Raw genomic sequence first — 20,474 nt, 5'->3', positions numbered from 1 at the left:
TAAAAACTTTTGTGACTTTACAAAATGGGATTTAAAATGATATATACTATCTTCATGTACAGTAGAAAATCAGTTTTTAATAAAATTTTGGTTTACCATTTTCCATCTTTGTGCAGGACATCATGGTGATGTTGGGGCTCCCATAGCTGATGTTATTCTCCCAGGAGCTGCTTACACAGAGAAGTCTGCTACATATGTCAACACTGAGGGTAGAGCTCAGCAGACTAAGGTAGCAGTGACACCTCCTGGCTTGGCAAGAGAAGACTGGAAAATTATAAGAGCACTCTCTGAGGTATAATTTCTGAGTCATTTCTTAGTGATGCTACTAAAGGCATATTTGATATTTTAGCCTGTTAGAATGATTTTCAAAGTCAAGGAAGATGCCAGTCTGAAATGCAGAGATGATTTGAATAATTTCTATAGAAAACATGTATTCAGAAACAGGAATTCAAGGTTACAGTGAGCTCTCATTGCACCGCTGCACTCCAGCCTGAGGGACAGAGCAAGACCCTGTCTCTTAAAAAATAAAGGAACTTGAAATTGGTGCTTTTATTTTATTTTATTTATTTTTGAGACAGAGTTTTTCTCTGTTGCCCAGGCTGGAGTGCAGTGGCGTGATCTCAGCTTACTGCAACCTCCACCTCCCGGGCGCAAGCTTCCTGAGTAACTGGGATTACACGCATGTACCACCAAGCCTGGCTAATTTTTATATTTTTAGTAGAGATGGGGTTTCGCCATGTTGGCCAGGCTGGTCTTGAACTCCTGGGCCTCAAGCAGTCCTCCCACCTCGGTCTCCCGAAGTGCTGGGATTACAGGTGTGAGCCACTGCACCTGGCCTGAAATTGGTGCTTTTATTGTTGAAAATTGTTGACTTGTCTTTTGCCTGAAAATACATCTGTTAGCTCTTTATTGATGTAAAAGTAAGCATCCTGACTTTTAAAATAATAACACATTGTAAACTTTATGTATTTTAATAACAGGTTAGCAAAAACATTTGGATTTAGCATAGTATTGTCTCTTCATTTCATAGAGTCACTAATGTACTGACAGCTGTGAATGAATTAGAATTTTTGATATTTGTGTTCCCTGCTTAACTGCTTCCTTCATAAATGTATGTCTACTAATGGACACCAATAGGTTTTTCAGTAGTGCTGCATTATTTCACCATAGTTACAATTATCTATTATTTGATATTTTTAAGTATTAAAGCTTTTTGTTGTTTTTGGGGACCTGACATGTTGTAGATTGCTGGAATGACTCTTCCATATGATACTCTGGATCAAGTAAGGAACAGATTGGAAGAAGTCTCTCCTAATCTTGTTCGATATGATGATATTGAAGGGGCTAATTACTTCCAGCAAGCAAATGAGCTCTCAAAGGTAACAGCTCGCCTATGAGCAGTTTTCATAATGTTGTATCTACTGGTGTAACAGTACTAGTTTTCCATATTATTGTTGATCTCTTCTTTTTTGTGCAGCTAGTGAACCAGCAGCTTCTTGCTGACCCACTTGTTCCACCTCAGCTAACTATAAAAGACTTCTACATGACAGGTATGTAATTGTCAACATGACTCTGCCAAATACGAAAGGTAAGAAGTAATCAGATCACCTCATTTGGTGTTATAATTCCAATTTGTGATTGATAGTGTTTGCAATTCTTAATCTTTGAAGGTTTTCAAACATTGGAACTAACGTAAGCATATTTTCTGATTCTACTCTAGTTTTTTTGTTTCTGAAATGTAAGCAAAGTTTGAAAATCCAAGCAATTAATAGATTTTAAATATAAAATTTTGCTGTTGTAAGGAAAGTCACTGTGTAGCAATTTATGGTGAATTTTCCAAAGTGGCAAATAACTGCAGGTTTTTCTGAGAATTATAGGTGGAAGAATCAAAACATTTAAATGTGAAACATGTTAAACAGTGCTTCTGATGTAAATTGTTAGGAATGTTTTTAAGGAATGCAGACAAACTGAAACTTGTTTATTGCAGATTCTTAGAACAGTTGATACAACATCTAGGTTATGAGGTAGTTAATAGTTGATAGATTATTTTGACTAATTTTCTATCTAAAAGCACATAGAACTCTTAATTTTTTTATATAGTTTGTATCTAAGATTTTTTAAATAAGTATTTTAGTTAGATAATAAAGATTACCTTCATTGTAAAATAATACCTATGCTCAAAAGCACAACAAAAAATCACTTCTATGGTATTTATCTGCGAACTTATGAACACAAAGAAGGAAACAACAGACACTGTAGTCTACTTGAGAGTGGAGAGTGGGAGGAGGGAGAGGTGCAGAAAAGATAAGTCTTGGGTACTGGGCTTAATTCCTCGGTGATGAAGTATTCTGTACAACAAATCCCTGTGACATGAGTTTACTGGTGTAAAAAGCCTTCACATGTACCCCTGAACCTAAAAGTTTTTTTTTTTTTAAAAAAAGAAAAATCACTACCCTCCCACTATCAAGAAATAACTATAATTATTTTTAACATTTTAGTCACTCTTCCTCCAGGGACATACATATGCATTATACACATATATATTATATTAATTAACTATTGTTATTTATATGTAATTATTACTGTTTACATGTACGTGTGTGTGTGTGTGTGTGTGTATAATTTTTGAGATGAGATTTTACTCTGTCACCCAGGCTGAAGTGCAGTGGCACAATCTTGGCTTGCTGCAACCTCTGCCTCCTGAGCTGAAGTGATCCTCCCACCTCAGCCTCCTCGGTAGCTAGGACTATAGGCGCATACCACCACATCCAGCTAATTTTTGTATTTTTTGTAGAGATGGGGTTTCGCCATGTTACCCAGGCAGATCTCAAACTCCTGGACTCAAGCAGTCCACCCACCTCAGCCTCCCAAAGTGCTGGGACTACAGATGTGAGCCACCACCCCTGGCCTATATATTTTTTAGTGAAACAGAAGGTGAGATTAGGCCTGGTGCAGTGGCTCATGCCTGTAATTCCAGCATTTTGGGAGGCTGAGGGGGGCAGATGGCTTGAATCCAGGAGTTTCAGACCAGCCTGGGCAACATAGTCAGATCTGGTCTCTTTAAAAAAAAAAAAGTGAGATTATTCACTTGGGGGTTGATAGCTTTATTGAAATATAATTCATGTACCCTAAAATTTACTCATGAAGTGGACAATTCAATGTATTTTAGTACATATGCTGTTTTGTAACCTTTTTCAATAATAGTATTGTACACATTTTTCCTATATTTATTTATTTATTTATTTTTTTGAGACAAGAGTCTTGCTCTGTCGCCCAGGCTAGATTGCAGTGGTGTGATCTCGGCTCACTGCAAGCTCCGCCTCCTAGGTTCACACGATTCTCCTGCCTCAGACTCCCGAGTAGCTGGGACTACAGGCATATGCCACAACACCTGGCTAATTTTTTGTATTTTTAGTAGAGATGGGGTTTCACTGTGTTAGCCAGGATGGTCTCAATCTCCTGACCTCGTGATCCACCTGCCTCGGCCTCCCAAAGTGCTGGGATTACAGGTGTGAGCCACCGCGCCTGGCCTTTCCTATGTTTTTAATACTTTTCTATAATTTTTTAATGGCTGCATACTGGTGCACTGTCTAGCTGCTCTATAGTTATTTGATTGTTTCCAGGGATAGTTATTGAAAGCATGTGGCCAGTAAGGGGTTTATCGTTGGAATCTGTTGGTTACATATAATTATATATACTTGCATAGGGCCTTATAATCTTTTTTCCTCCTGAATATGTGCACCATTAAAGTTTTAGTATGTGCTTTTTAAAAAGTTGTATTATCAAAATGACATTTTCTTAATATCTTTCAGATTCAATTAGCAGAGCCTCACAGACAATGGCCAAATGTGTCAAAGCTGTCACAGAGGGTGCCCAGGCAGTAGAGGAACCATCCATATGCTGAAGCTTCTACTAGGATCCCAGTTTTGCCGCAGATAATTAATGGACAACTGTAGTGCAGTGATCCTTTACAGGTTTATTTCTTTGTAAAAAAAAATAATAATAATTTGAATCATGTAATATTTAAGGTTATACTATGCCTATTTGAAAATGATATTAGTTATCAACTTTGCAGTTTGAAAAACATGTATTGTGTGTAAAGGTTAAATAACAAAACTATGCAGATGCTCTTAAAAGCATTGATAACCTTTGTGACGAACATAAAGAGATCCTTAAATTATGAGTTGTTGGCTTATCTTCATAAATAATTTGTCTGTAAAATGGATGAAATGAAAAGAGGTTCAATTAAAACCTACTTTTTTCTAGTGCTAAAGAAAAGATTTAAGCACCTTGTCAAGCTGGGTAAATAGGAAAAATACATAATCATGCTCAGATATGTATCTAGGATAATTATAATTAATAATAATCATAGTAACAATGGCTAATGATAATTTAGCTTTATTATATGTGCTAAGCACTCTGGTTTTACATGCATTATCTTCTTTTGTTCTTGCTACAACCCTGTGAGATAGTAGTATTATCTCATTTTACTGATGAAGACTGAAGCCTAGGTATATTAAATAGCTTGCCCAAGGCCACACAGCAAAAGTCACCAACTCAAACCTACTTCTTATTTACTCCAAAGCCTGTTGTTCTTAACTGCAACATATTATTTCGTCTCATTAATGTTGATTCTATAGGTTGTTACTTCTAAAAATTAGTATTGAGTTTAATGGTGAACACATTTTTCTATTTTCTCTTGAATCTGCTTCTATAATGTCATGGTGATTTATGTGGCTTTTTTTTTTTTATAAGTTATACATGTATGCATGTATACTTATGAGACCTCCCTTGGAATGAGGGAGGTCTCAAGAGATATAATTTAGATTCTCATTGATGTTCTGTATTCATTATCCTAACACCATCTGTAGTGTTAAATCAACTAAATTATTTCAGCAATAGGAGACAAAACAACCAGCTTTCATAATTTTTAATTGTCAAAACCAAAAGGAATCAGAATAAGGATCACTGAGAATTTAAAAAAATAAAAAAGGAAGTAAAAATTTTACAATTAGGAGATAATTAAAAATAGATAATTTTTTTTTTTAATCTAAGGTTGGGTGTGGTGGCTTACACCTGTAATCCCAACACTTGGGGGGCCAAGGTGGGTGGATCGCTTGAGCCCAGGCAGTTGGAGACCAGTCTGGGCAACATGGTGAAACCCCATCTCTACAAAAAATACAAAAATTAGCTGGGTGTGGTGGTGTACACCTATAGTCCCAGCTACTCGGAAGGCTGAGGTGGGAGGATCACCTGACCCAGGAGGTTGAGGCTGCAGTGAGCCGTGATTGCGCCACTGCATTCCAGCCTGGGCAACAGAGCAAGACTTTGTTTCAAACAAACAAACAAAACTATGTTCACAATTTATTTGTTTTGTAATCCTTATTCTTTTCTGCTTTCACTAAAGACTCAGCCCAAGTATAGGATGCCCTTTTTCCCTTTGTTTTTTTTTTTTTTTTGAGATGGAGTCTTACTCTGTCACCCAAGGCTGGAATGCAGTGGCATGATCTTGGCTCACTGCAATCACCACCTCCCTGATTCAAGCGATTCTCCTGCCTCAGCCTCCCCGGTAGCTGGGATTACAAGCGCACGCCACCACACCTGGCTAATTTTTGTATTTTTAGTAGAGACAGGGTTTCACCAATTTGGCCAGGCTGGTCTTGAACTCCTAACCTCAGGTGATCTACCTGCCTTGGCCTCCCAAAGTGCTGGGATTACAGGCGTGAGCCACCGCGCCCAGTCTAGGATGTCGTTTTTCTGATACAACAAAGGATAAGGTTTTAGAATAATAGTATGTTACAATATCTTTAAAAACAGCAGGTGCAGTGGCTCACACCTGTAAGCCCAGCATTTTGGGGGTTCAAGGCAGGAAGATCAGTTGAGGCCAGGAGTTCAAGACCAGCCTGGACTGCATAGCAAGATCCTATTTGTACAAAAAAATGTAAAACTTAAAATTGCACAAAATTTGTCACCTGTACCAGCTTTTAGAACTGTTTATCTTATCCTCCTCAGTGATACATCATGAAGTTGTGTGCTTTGCCTAAAATGCCCAGTTACCTGAAATTGTATAAATTCTTGCCAAAAGTGTTTGAACTTAATACAAACTTCCCATCTCTTACCTCTTAGCACTGTGCTCATCTTGAGGGGACATAGTCCCAATTTTGTATTTTATATAATACTGTTAATGAATATGTGTAGACTTCATATGGTTGTGGGTAAGAGAATACTGCATTCAGATAGAAAAGATGCTATATAGCTAAGTTGATCCAGGATCCTTGGGCTACCTGCTAGGCAGCTTGTGGTGAACAATCATAATCTCTAAAAAATACCTTGTCTGGACCGGGCGCGGTGGCTCACACCTGTAATCCCAGCACTTTGGCAGGCTGAGGCGGGCAGATCATTGAGGTCAGGAGTTTGAGACCAGCCTGGCCAACGTGGTGAAACCCTGTCTCTACTAAAAATACAAAAATTAGCCAGGCATGGTGGCACATGGCTGTAATCCCAGCTACTGGGGAGGCTGAAGCAGGAAAATCGCTTGAACTGAGAGTCAAGGCGGAGGTCGCGGTAAGCCGAGATCACACCATTGCACTGCAGCCTGGGTGAAGAAACAAGCCTCCCTCTCAAAAAATAAATAAATAAATAAATAATACCTCCTCTGGGATAAGTAGTGCTCCGTCTGTCTCATGGGCACATATTAGTGTCGTAATGCCAAATACTAAGGTTATTGTAAGCATAAACATTGAAGATAATTGCTAGAGAAAAATAGACTGAAAAAGATGTAAGAAAAATACACGTAGATGAGAGTAACCTGTCTGGTGGAATCATGACATTCTAAGCAGTGAAGGAATCACCAATGAGAAAATCTACAAAGGCTCAAGATCAAGTCTCTTTAGGTGAATAAGGCAATCTAGAAAGACCTTGGAATAATAATACCATTTCCTGAGGACCTTCTAAATAAGTGCCATTAAAGCTTTAAATACATTAAGACTATTCTTCACAAAATCTCTGCTAATAGTAGGTATTAATTGAGACTCAAGAAATATCAAATAACTTATTTATGGCTACACAGCTAGATACTAATGGCAGGAGTGTTTAATTAGAAGTACTTTTACTATCCCAGGTTGCCTCAAATGAAAACATTTTGGACAGCAATGTAAGGTGAATAGCTGAGCATGATGGCACAAGCTATAGCCCCAGCTACTTGGGAGGCTGAGGCACAAGGATTGCTTGAGCAAATGAGTTGAGTCCAGCATGGACAACTGTATTCCTGCAGCCTGCTTGTATTCCTCTCCTCAAAGTGCTTTTTCCTTCTCTGCCACATGACTAGTCTGTGAATTTTCCAAACTTCTACGCTCTGCTTCCCTTTTAAATATGTTCCAACTTTAAGTTATTTCTTTGCTTCCATATCTGATTGTAGGCTGCTAGCATCAGCCAGGCCACATCTTGAATGCTTTGCTGCTTAGAAATTTCTTCTGCCAGATACCCTGATACCCTAAGTCATCACTCTTAAGTTCAAACTTCCACAGATTCCTAGGGCCTGGACACAATGCACCCAAGCTATTTGCTAAAGCATGACATAGATGTACCTTTATTCCTGTTCCCAATAACTTCCTCATTTCCATCTGAGACCTCATCACTCTGGACTTCACCATATGTCTATCAGCATTTTGGTCACAACCACTTAACTAGTCTCTAAGTTCCAAACTTTCCCTCATCTTTCTGTCTTCTGAGCCCTCCAGATTCTTCCAACCTCTGCCTGTTACCCAGTTCCAAAGCTGTTTCTACATTTTCCAATATGTATAGCAGTGCCCCACTGTCAGTACTAATCTGTTTTAATCTGTTTGCATTACTGTAAAGGAATATCTGAGATTGGGTAATTCTTGCAAAAGAGAGATTTAATTGGCTTACAGTTTCTGCAGGCTGTACACAAAGCATGGCACCAGCAGCTGCTTCTGATGAGGGCCTCAGGAAGCTTACAATCATGGTAGAAGGCAAAATGGGAGCGAGCATATCACATGGTGAGAGAGGGAGCAAGAGAGAGGAGGAGGTCCCAGACTCTAAACAACCAAATTTCACATGAACTAAGATCTCACTCATCACCAAGGTGATGGTGCCAAGCCATTCATGAAGGATTTGCCCCATGATTCTATACCTCCCACGAGGCCCTACCTCCAGCATTGGGGGTTACATTTCAACATGAGATTTGGAAGTGACAGCCATCCAAACCATATCAGCAACATAACAAGACCCCCAACTCTTAAAAAAAAAAGTTGAATATATATCCAAAAATATCTTGAATTCCATATGGAAAGCCTCCCCCCTCAAATTTGTAGTAAATTGTATTATAATGAATACATTAATTAAAAATATACTTGGCCTGGCACAGTAGCTCAAGCCTGTAATCCCAGCACTTTGGGAGGCCGAGGCAGGCGGATCACCTGAGGTCAGGAGTTTTCGAGACCAGCCTGTCCGACATGGTGAAACTCTGTCTCTACTAAAAATACAAAATTAGCCAGCCATGGTGGCATATGCCTGTAATCCCAGCTACTCACTCAGGAGGCTGAGGCAGGAGAATCACTTAAACCCAGGAGACGGAGGTTGCAGTGAGTCAAGATTGCACCGTTGCACTCCAGCCTGGGTGACAGAGTGAGACTCTGTCTGAAAAAAAGTAAAAATTAAAAAATATATTTGACAATACCCAGTACCAATTTATTGTTTGTTGTTGACATTAACATTTTCTTTAAGAGTATTTCTTCATCTGTAAAATGAGGATAAAAATTGTAAAATTGTACCTACTTCCAGCCTCATAGAATTGTTTTGATGATTACATCAGAAAGCTTGTAAAAACCTTAGGCCTGTTTCCTGACATATACTAAATGCCCCATGTGCTAACTGAGGATGATCATTGTAGGAAAATTTCATAGACTATGAGGGAAAGCCATGCCTAAAATAATCTCCAGCTTATTAAGAAGTGCATTCCTTTTTGTTTCTTTGTTTTATCTTAGATTGAGTCTCACTGTATTGCCAGTCTGGAGTGCAGTGGCGCAATCTCAGCTCACTGCAACCTCCACCTCCTGGGTTCAAGCGATCCTCCTGCCTCAGCCTCCTGAGTAGCTGGGACTACAGGAGCACACCACCACGCCCAGCTAATTTTTGTGTTTTTAGTAGAGGCGGGGTTTCACCATGTTGGGCAGGATGGTCTCAAACTCCTGACCTCAGGTGATCCACCCGCCTCAACCTCCCAGAGTGCTGGGATTACAGGCGTGAGCTATCCGTGCCCAGTCAATTTTTGTATTTTTAGTAGAGATGAGGTTTCACCATATTGGTCAGGCTGGTCTTGAACCCCTGACCTCAGGTGATTCACCCGCCTCAGCCTCCCAAAGTGCTGGGATTCCAGATGTGAGCCAGCGCACCCAGCCTGGCCATCTTTTATAAAAAGATGAAGATGTCAGAATTCCCTAATAAGATTCTGGCTCTGTTACCCAGACTGGAGTGCAATGCATGGCATGATCTCAGCACACTGCAACCTCCATCTCCTGGGCTCAAGCCATCCTCCCACTTCAGTCTCCCAAGTGGCTGGGACTACAGGCACACGCCACCACACCTGGCTAATTTTTGTATTTTTTGTAGAGACGAGGTTTCGCCATGTTACCCAGGCTGGTCTTAAACTCCTGAGTTCAAGTGATCCACCTGCCTCAGCCTCCCAAAGTGCTGGGATTACAGGCATGAGCCACTGTACCCGGCCCCTAATAAGTTTTAAATAACCAATATTTTAAAATATTTTAATAGTTACATAGCACTTTAGTTTGCTGATTTAATTTATCCCAAGGGACAAGGATGTTAATGAGAAAACTGACTAGATTTCAGATCACAGATTTTAAGAGAACAAGGATCTCAAAACCAAATACCCTCTGCTTAAAGTGTTTTTTGTGTTTTTCACTACTGAAAATGTTTAGAGATTGACTTACCTATTGCTGATACTCAAAACATCTGATATCTTAATATTTTTAAATAACTCACTAAAAGCATATGTTGAAAATGGCAATGTATAGTCTGAGACTGGTGATTAGACTGGACTAAAAGCATATGTTGGAAATGGCAAATATATGATCTGAGACTGGTGATTAATTTACAGTATTGGCACCTAAAGAGATACTGAGATGAATAACTTATTAATTTCCTTCTTAAAATCATAATTTTGGATCTGTAAAGGACTATACAAAAAAAAATTTTAGTATTATACCTGCATTTTATAATTGTGGAAATGGAGGCCAGAAAGAATAAGAGGCAAGTTAGGGGCAGATCTTGGGTTTGGATCAGCTCTTCTGATGCCTGGTTCTGTGACATTACAAAGCCTGAAATTCAGCTCCAACATCTATTAAACATTTGCAGAGTATCAGCTGGGTGCGGTGGCTCTCATAAGGCCAGGAGTTCAAGACCAGCCTGGCCAAGATAGTGAAACCCCATCTCTACTAAAAATACAAAAATTAGCCGGGCATGGTGGCAAGACACCTGTAATCCCAGCTACTCTGGAGGCTGAGTCAGAGAATTGCTTAAACCTGGGAGGCGGAGGTTGCAGTGATCCCAGATCGCGCCACTGCGCTCTAGCATGGGCGACAAAGCGAGACCCCATCTCAAAAAGAAAAACAAAATTTTTTTGCAGAGTATCTACTGTGTGTCAAGTACATTACCCAAGACTACAAAGAGAAATACAATTTAGCTAATGTCCTCAAGAAGCTAACAGTATACTAAAAGAGATATGTAGGCATCAATTATAGTAATGACATAACATATTCTAATAGAGGTAAGTACATAACACAGTGGGCATGTCTAGTTGTCTTTGTTTCTGCTGTTAAAACAGAATATCACAGACTGGGTGATGGGTTGATTGATTGACTGATTGAGGCAACTCTGTCACCCAGGCTGGGGTTCAGTGGCATGATCACAGTTCACTGCAGCCTCAACCTCCCTGGATCAAGCAATCCTCCTGCCTCAGCCTCCTGAACAGCTGGAACTACAGGTGTGAGCCACCATGCCCCACTAATTTTTATTTATTTATTTTTTTTTTCTGAGACGGAGTCTCAGTTTGTCGCCCAGGCTGAAGTGCAGTGGCACAATCTCAGCTCACTGCAACCTCCACCTCCCGGGTTCAGTTTTCCTGCCTCAATCTACTAGGATCTAGCTAGGATTACAGGTGTGCGCCACCATGCCCAGCTAATTTTTGTATTTTTAGTAGAGACGGGGTTTCACCATGTTGGTCAGGCTGGTCTCAAACTCCTGACCTCATGATCTGCCCACCTCGGCCTCCCAAAGTGCTGGGATTACAGGCGTAAGCCACCGCGCCCAGCTAATTTTTAAAAATATTTTATAGAGACAGGTCTCACTATGTTGCCCAGGCTCGTCTTGAACCCCTGGGCCCAGGCGCTCCTCCCACCTTGACCTCCCAAAGTTCTGGAATTACACATGTGAGCCAACACACCAGGCCCAGACTGGGTAATTTATAAAGAAATTTACTTCTGCCCACACCGCCCCGCCTCCCCGCGCGAGTGGCTGAGGCGTAGCGCTGCCATCCCCGCACCCCTGGGAACATGGCGCTGCGAGTGGTGCGGAGCGTGCGGGCCGTGCTCTGCAGCCTGCACGTGGTCCTGGCACCTGCCGCGCCCTGCCTATCGAGGCCCTGGCAGCTTGGGATGGGCGCCGTCTGGTTACTGTAATCTGCCTGAAGTTGGGACAAAATTGAACAAACAAGATGAGTTTGGTGCTTTGGAGAGTGTGAAAGCTGCTAGTGAACTCTATTCTCCTTTATCAGGAGAAGTAACCGAAATTAATGAAGCTCTTGCAGAAAATCCAGGACTTGTAAACAAATCTCGTTATGAAGATGGTTGGCTGATCAAGATGACACTGAGTAACCCTTCATAACTAGATGAACTTATGAGTGAAGAAGCATATGAGAAATACATAAAATCTATTGAGGAGTGAAAATGGAACCACTAAATAAGCTAGTATGAAATAACGCAACCCAGCAGAGTTGTCCTAAATTAGTGGTGGATAGAAGACTTAGAATAGCAACTTTTAGCATTACCCATGGGAAAAAAAAACTACTGTTAACACTGCTAATGAAAGAAGATGCCTTTTAACTTTCTAATGATTGTAGATAAACATAATATGTGTCTTTTTCACAACATCCTATGATTTTTAGACTAGGCTCTAGTATTCATGAAATTATCCATGAAATTATCCATGGTAAAAATTAGTTACAAAAATTACATAATTCAAAGATAATGTTGTTATTCTTAAGCCTTATATAATATTGTAACTTGTGTATGTCCATACCTGGACTTGGGATGAAATACTTAATGATCTTTCCATTGGAAATAACTGGGAGTGAAGAAGTTTTTGTTGCTTGTACAGTGTCAGATGAAGAACAACACTATCTTAATTTTGCAATACACTGCATTTGCTGGTGCTGTTTTTATATAGTGAAGCAACAGCTGTACAGCAAAATAATAAAATACTCACTTCTTCGTTAAAAAAAAAAAAAATTTACTTCTTACAATTCTGGAGGCCAGGAAGACCATGATCAGGTGCCAGCATCTGGGAAGGGCCTTCTTGCTGTCCTCCCATGGCAGAAGATGGAAGGGCAAGGGAGAGCTAACATGCTCCCGCAAACCCTTTTTATAATGGCATCAATCAAATATGAGGCCAGAGTCCTTGTGACCTAATCATCTCCCAGAAGGCTCCGCCTCCCAACCCTGTTGCATTGGGATTAAGTTTCCAACACATGAATTGTGGAGACAACACATTCAAAACATAGCATTCCACACCTTGGGCTCCCCAGATTCATGTCCTCACATGCAAAATAAATTCATTCCATCCCAATAGCCCCTAAAAAGTCTTAACTTGTTCCAGCATCAACTTTAAAGTCAAAGTCCAAAGTCTCATCTAAATCAGATATGAGTGAGACTCAAGGCATGATTCATCATGAGACAAAGGATGTACATTTGCAATGTTTGTCATGTCAGACAAAACAAAAATATGTAAATATCCATCAATAGGGAACTGCTGAAAAATTTTTTTGTATAATCATAAAATGAAACATGCAGATGTTTAAACCAATGAGCTAGATCTCAACGTGCTGATATGGAAAGTGCTTCAGAATGTATTAAGGACATAAATTAAGTGTACAATAATGTGTGTGTGTGTATATATGTATATGCTTACGTGTGTATGGAAAGTATCTCAGCAGATACAATAAAAACTTAATTGTGATTACCCCTGGATCAATTAACATGTGGTATAGTATAAGGAAATGAATTTTATACCTTGATCAAACATTTGAAAAATTTTACAATATACTGCTTTATAATTTTTAGAAACAACATATTGTGGCCAAGTGCGGTAGCTCACGCCTGTAATCCCAAAGGCCAAGGCGGGCAGATCACCTGAGGTCAAGAGTTTGGGACCAGCCTGACCAACATGGAGAAACCCCATCTCTACTAAAAATACAAAATTAGCCAGATGTGGTGGTGCATGCCTGTAATCCCAGCTACTTAGGAGACTGAGGCAGGAGAAACGCTTGAACCTGGGAGGTGGAGGTTGCGGTGAGCTGAGATCACACCATTGCACTCCAGCCTGGGCAACAAGAGCGAAATTCCATCTCAAAAAAAAAATTGTTTAAATGAAGAATCTGTAGGAAAACAAAATGTTGATAAAAAGTAGTCCAGGCACGGTGGCTCACGCCTGTAATCCCAGCACTTTGGGAGGCCGAGGCAGGTGGGTCACCTGAGGTCAGGAGTTTGAGACCAGCCATAGCCAACATGGTGAAACTCTGTCTCTACTAAAAATACAAAAAATTAGCCGGGCATGGTGGCATGCGCCTGTAGTCCCAACTACTCAGGAGGCTGAGGCAGGAGAATTGCTTGAACCCAGGAGATGGAGGTTGCAGTGAGCCGAGATCACACCACTGCACTCCAGCCTGGATGACAGAGTGAGACTCTCTCAAAAAACAAAACAAAACAAAACAAAAAAATACAAAAATTAGCTGAGCATGGTGGCACACGCCTGTAATTCTAGCTACTCAGGAGGCTGAGACAGCAGAATCACTTGAACCCAGGAGGCGGAGGTTGCAGTGAGCCAAGATCGCACCACTGCACTCTCGCCTAGATGACAGAGTGAGACTCTATCTCAAAAAAAAAAAAAGTAAAAATATAAGTATACAAAATCTTATGCATGGTATGTGTGGTAGGAAGACTCTAAAATGGCCTCAATGATCCCTGCCTCCTGGGATGACCTTGGGTAATCCGCTACCCTTGAGTGTGGGCTGAACTTACTTCTAATGAATAAGGATGTCGCTACTGAGATTAGGTTTTAAAACCTAATTCTACTGAGATTAGGTTTTAAAACCTAATTCTACTGAGATTAGGTTTTAAAACCTAATTCTTCTTGGGTTTCGTTTTTGGGTTCTCTATGGTTCTCCCACGCTTGATCACCACCTTCCATGTTCTGAGGTCCCATAGGCAGCTTCCTCCTTGGTCTTGAGGAATACTCTCATGCTCAGAGGGGCATCCTGTGGTAAGGAAGGGGCCTACCAGCAACCACGTGAGTGAGCTGAATCCTTTGGCCTCAATAGAGTTGAGATGACTGCTGCCCCAGCTGACAGCTTAACTGCAACCTGAAATATCTTCAGTCAGAAGCACCCAACCTCATGCTTCTGGATTTCTAGCACACAGCAACTGTGAGATAATAAATGCATGTTTTTAGTCACTAAGTTTTGGATTATTTTGTTATGCAATAATAGATGACTAATATATCCTGATTATAACTTTGCAAAAGCATATGCCAGGATGACCCCCATCCAATGACTGATACCTGTGGAGGTATAAAGGTCTAGCCATCTCAGCCCAATGAGGGACAATTCTGAAGGACCACTTTAGCTCCTGACCTCTCTGTGGGGTTGGCTGAGGCTGCCATTGAATCTGCATTGCAGCTCAACTTTTCCTTTTGCCCGCTCTTGCTTTTGTCCCCTCCCTTACACAGGTGTTGACTCCCAGGGAACGCCTTAATAAATATTCTGCATGCTAAACTGCTCTGAGTCTGCTTCCTAGGGAATCCAATCTGTGACAGCCGTCCTTAATATCTGTGTACCCCAGGTCGGTGTGCCAGAAAGAAGCGGTGAGGGAATGCAAGCGGAGAATGAGCACTTAACATTTTATTGATATGACTTGGAAATTGCATCTTCCATTCACATACCCTACACAGGACTTACAGCCACGTTCACCCGTAAGTGAGGAGGCTGGGAAATGCAGTATCTAGCTGGGCAGCTATCTCCCCAACTAAAACACACAGATTCTGAGAGGTGTTCCACTTACCTATTGCTGCACAACAAACTACCCCAAAACTTACTGATGTAAAACAACCATTTTGTTAGGTTCCTGAGAGTCCATGGGTCCAGAATACAGAAAGGGCACAGCAGTTAGGGGGGCAACTCTTCTCTGTTCTACAAGGCCAGGGCCTCAGCTGGATGACTGGAATATTTAGGGATGACTCAAACAACTAGGGACTGAAGAAGTTTGAACAGTTCTGGCTGGAGGATTCAGTTCCCACATGGCATCTTCACTCGTATGTTCAGCTCCTAGGCTGGAATGGTGGAATGACATGATCAGATGGGATTGCCTTCCAGAAAGGATCTTCCTGTGGCCTATTCAGCAAGTCAGCCTCTGGTTAGTTGGACTTCTTATAGGGTAGCTCAAGGCTCCAAGGGCAAGGTAATTCTTAGAGATCACAGAGGAAGCTGCGAGACTTTTTATGACTTAACCTCAGAAATTATATGACATCACTTCCATTGAATTTTATTGGTCAAGCCAGGCTCTGAACCCACCAGGATTCAAGTGGGGGAAACATACACCTCACCTCTTGATGAGAGGAGTATGAAAGAATTAAAACTGCCCTAACGAAAGAATAGATATTAGTTCTTGCTAGAGCCCTGTAGTATGTATCACAGTGGTAAAGAGGGACATAAAAAGAGAAAACAGGCTGGGCACCATGGCTCACGCCTGTAATCCCAGCATTTTGAGAGGCCAAGGTGGGAGGATTGCTTGAGCCCAGGAGTTGGAGACCAGTCTGGACAATGTAGTGAGACCTCATCTCTACAAAAAATTTTTAAAAAATTAGCCAGGCATGGTCGCATGTGCCTGTAGTCCCAGCTACTTGGGAGGCTGAGGCAGGAAGATAGTTTGAGCCTGGGAGTTCAAGGTTGTGGTGAGCCTTGATGATGCCACTACACTCCAGCCTGAGTGACACAGTGAGACTTTGCATCAAAAAAAAGAGAAAACAGACAATAATACATTAAAAATGAAACCTCTGTAATTTATCAATCTATAACTATTTTCTCATCACTTACCGCATACCAAACTCTACTGCACTTGTGTCCAGTATAAAGTTGGTGAGTCTTCTGTTGTATTTAGGATAGAGTTGAGGCCCTTCCCTTCGTTTCAAATTATTTAAGCTTTTATTTTATTATATCTTCCTGAGTGAGGTTCTTGCTCTGCCCAGGCTGGAGTGAAGTGGCAGGATCATGACTCACTGCAGGCTCAAACTCCTGTACTCAAGTGATCCTCCTGCCTCAGCCTCCCAAGTGGCTGGGACTACAGGCATGTACTATGATGGCCAGCTAATATTTTTGTTTGTTTATTTGTTGTTTGTTTTTTCTTTTCTTTTCTTTTTTTTTTTTTTTGAGATGGAGTCTCACTCTGTTGTCCAGGCTGGAGTGCAATGGTGTGATCTTGGTTCATTGCAACCTCCGCCTGCTGGGTTCAAGGGATTCTTCTGCCTCAGTCTCCCAAGTAGCTGGGATTACAGGTGTGCACCACAACACCCAGTTAATTTCTATAGTTTTAGTAGAGATGGGGTTTTGCCATGTTGGCCAGGCTGGTCTCAAACTCCTGACCTCAAGTGATCTGCCTGCCTCAGCTTCCCAAAGTGCTGGGATAACAGGCGTGAGCCACTGCCTCCAGCCTGTTTTGTATTTTTTGTAGAGACAGGGTTTCACCATGTTACCCAGACTGGTCTCCAACTCCTAGGCTCAAGTGATACACCTACCTCAGCCTCCCAAAGTGCTGGGATTACAGGTCTGAGCCACCATCCCTGGCCTTTTTAAGCTTTTAAATATAGTTCAAGAACCTTGGCACATAATTGTCCAGTCTCTGCTGCTATAGAGTAGTTAAGTACTAGGCCCAAATGAAGTAATATTCCTCAAATAACATATTTAGTATTATAGTTTCAGTAAAATGGTACTATAGTTTGAGTACAGGGGTGAAAGCCAAACTAGTTTTACAGTTTCTCCTGTTTCATTTCCGCTTTATGAGATTTACTGTATCCTTCAGCAACATAAGTAACCTCCCTGCCAGACTATGTACTGTACATTATTAATATAAATTATTTTCTGAATTAAAGAAAGTGTCAAGTCACAAGGCAAACTAAGACAGAAACTGAGCCTCTTGAGATCTTTAAACCCTTCCAAGACTTTGGGATTTTCTTCATGTTCCTGTGGGTAGGGGGACCTTGCCCCATTGTTGTAGAACAAAAGCATCTACTTTGCTGATGGGAAGTCCTGGGATAGTGTTGAAGTCTAAAAGAAACAAGAAAGCATGACTGAATTTCACTAATCTCAATTTTCCCTGCCAAGAAGAATAAAGGCCCTCCCAAGTTTGCCTGTTGGCTTCTTTTTTCTTTTCTTTTCTTTTCTTTTCTTTTTTAGACAGAGTCTCACTCTGTTGCCCAGGCTGGAGTGCGGTGGTGCAATCTCGGCTCACTGCAAGCTCCGCCTCCCGGGTTCATGCCATTCTCCTGCCTCAGCCTCCCCGGTAGCTGGGACTACAGGCGCCCGCCACCACACCTGGCTAATTGTTTTGTATTTTTAGTAGAGACGGGGTTTCACCGTGTTAGCCAGGATGGTCTCGATCTTCTGACCTCGTGATCTGCCTGCCTCGGCCTCCCAAAGTGCTGGGATTACAGGCGTGAGCCACCGCGCCCTGCCTGCCTGCCTGCCTGCTCGCTCTCTCTCTCTCTCTCTCTCTCCCCCCTCCCCTCCCCCACCCTTCCCTCTTTCTCTCTTTCTTTTTCTTTCTTTCTTTTCTTTCTATCTTCTTTCGAGTCTCACTCTGTTGCCCAGGCTGGAGTGCAGTGGCACGATCTCAGCTCACTGCAGCCTCAGCCTCCCAGGTTCAGGCAATTCTCCTGCCTTAACTTCCCGAGCAGCTGGGATTAAAGGCGTGGGCCACCACGCCTGGCTAATATTTGTATTCTTATTACTAATGAGACAGAGTTTCACCATGTTGGCCAAGCTGGCCTCAAACTCCTGACCTTAAGTGATCCGCCAGCCTCAGCCTCCCAAAGTGCTGGGATTATAGGCATGAGCCACTGTGCCCCACCTTTTCTTTTATCTTTAATTTTTTTTTTTTTTTTTGAGACAGGGTCTTGCTCTGTCACCCAGGCTGGAGTCCAGTGGCACGATCACAGCTCATTGCAACTTCAACCTTCCAAGTTCAAGTGACCTTCTTACCTCAGCCTTCCGAGTAGCTGGGACTACAGGTGTATGCCACCATGCTTGGCTATTGTATTTTTTTGTAGAGATAGGGTCCCATTATGTTGCCCAGACTGGTCTCAAACTCCTGGGCTCAAGTGATCTGCCTGCCACAGCCTCCCAAAGTGCTGAGATTACAGGCATGAGCCACCATGCCTGGCCTGTTTCTTTTTTCTTTTAAGACTGGGAGAAGGCCAGGCGCGGTGGCTCACGCCTGTAATCCCAGCACTTTGGGAGGCCAAGGCAGGTGGATCACGAGGTCAGGAGTTAGACACCAGCCTGACCAACATGGTGAAACCCTGTCTCTATTAAAAATACAAAACAATTAGCCGGGTGTGGTGGCGGGCACCTGTAGTCCCAGCTACTGGGGAGGCTGAGGCAGGAGAATAGTGTGAACCCAGGAGGCAGAGCTTGCAGTGAGCCGAGATTGCGTCACTGCACTCCAGGCTGGGTGACAGATCGAGACTGCCTCAAAAAAAAAAAAAAAAAGGCTGGGAGCAACCTAGCCTTGATCTGAGGTATATCGTTATGTGGATAAAGTTAAATAATAATAGAACATATGCCTTTCTGTAGCTCCTCCAGCTACAATTCCCATAAAGCATAAAGTGGAAATGTATTGTGTACTTAGCAGGAACTAAACAGCCACACCCTTTCATGGGATGGGGCTTATTTTGTATCTGCAAACCTGGGGGAAATGGAGTAAGGGAAGGTGTATGCGTGGGCAGCTGCATTCCCTTGGGAAAATGGGGTTATTCCTCCGTAACTCCTGTGTGTGTCCTCTGTGACCGTTACTCTCTCCTTGTTTATCCATCACTCTCCTAGCCAAGTGCATGTGTCAATCTTTTTTCAAACCTTTTAGTTCCATATGAGATGGGATGGGCTCCTTACTCCTTTTACTCCCCATATCTCTGATGGTTTTCCTCTAATGTGCTTACCTAATAATTTCCTCTCACATCATTCCCAGTCATACATGAAGTGCATCTTCTACAGGTTCATTGACATCGTGTGTATTATAGAAGTGATAAACAACTATTAAAAGTTTACTTTGTCTGCACATCCTTCATTTGGACTTGACTTATAAAATATATTGCCCTAGCCAGACGTGGTGGCTCATGCCTGCAATCCCAGCACTTTGGGAGGCTGAGGTGGGTGAATCACCTGACATTAGGAGTTTGAGACCAGCCTGGCCAACACGATGAAATCCCATCTCTACTAAAAATACAAACAAAACAAAACAAAATGCCGGTCATGGTGGCAGGTGCCTGTAATCCCAGCTACTTGAGAGGCTGAGGCAGGAGAATCACTTGAACCCAGGAGACAGAGGTTGCAGTGAGCCGAGGTCGCACCATTGCACTCCAGCCTGGGCAACAAGAGCGAGACTCTGTCTCAAAAAAAATAAATTAAAAAAAAAAAATATATATATATATATATATACACAGACACACATATATACATACACACACGTGTGTGTGTGTGTATGTGTGTGTATATATATATGTATATATATATATATCCCTTTGGTAAGACTGAAATAATTCTCATTTAAAAACAGGATATTAGGCCGGGCATGGTGGCTCACGTGTGTAACCCCAGCACTTTGGGAGGCTGAGGCAGGCGGATCACTTGAGGTCAGGGGTTCAAGACCACCCTGGCCAGCATGGCAAAAACCCTGTCTCTACTAAAAAAAAAAAAAAAATACAAAAATTAGCTGGGCGTCGTGGTGGGCACCTGTAATCCCAGCTACTCAGGAAGATGAGGCAGGAGAATTGCTTGAACCCAGGAGGTGGAAGCTACAGTGAGTTGAGATCATGCCACTGCATTCCAGCCTGGATGACAGAATGAGACTCTGTCTCAAAAAAAATAAAAAAATTAAAAAATTAAAATGGGGTATTAG

At 41.8% G+C, this 20,474-nt stretch overlaps 1 protein-coding gene and 1 pseudogene across 6 annotated transcripts in view; both read left to right on the top strand.

The window, feature by feature from the left end:
- NDUFS1 (NADH:ubiquinone oxidoreductase core subunit S1) overlaps positions 1 to 13,272 on the top strand; it is a 44,628-nt gene extending 31,356 nt beyond the window's left edge. For all 5 annotated transcript variants that reach the window (NM_001199982.2, NM_001199983.2, NM_001199981.2 and 2 more), the window contains 4 exons: positions 117 to 292; positions 1,245 to 1,379; positions 1,478 to 1,550; positions 3,813 to 13,272. In NM_001199982.2, coding sequence (NP_001186911.1) covers positions 117 to 292; positions 1,245 to 1,379; positions 1,478 to 1,550; positions 3,813 to 3,904 — 476 coding nt within the window. In that variant the 3' untranslated portion in view covers positions 3,905 to 13,272. The remainder of the gene's footprint in view (positions 1 to 116; positions 293 to 1,244; positions 1,380 to 1,477; positions 1,551 to 3,812) is intronic.
- GCSHP3 (GCSH pseudogene 3) lies at positions 11,517 to 12,516 on the top strand (annotated as a pseudogene). Its single transcript, NR_033248.1, has one exon. The product of NR_033248.1 is annotated as a GCSH pseudogene 3 (transcript).

Source organism: Homo sapiens, chromosome 2, assembly GCF_000001405.40.
Source record: "Homo sapiens chromosome 2, GRCh38.p14 Primary Assembly".
In the NCBI taxonomy this organism is placed as follows: Eukaryota; Metazoa; Chordata; class Mammalia; order Primates; family Hominidae; genus Homo; species Homo sapiens.
This window is presented reverse-complemented; position numbering and strand designations above follow the sequence as displayed.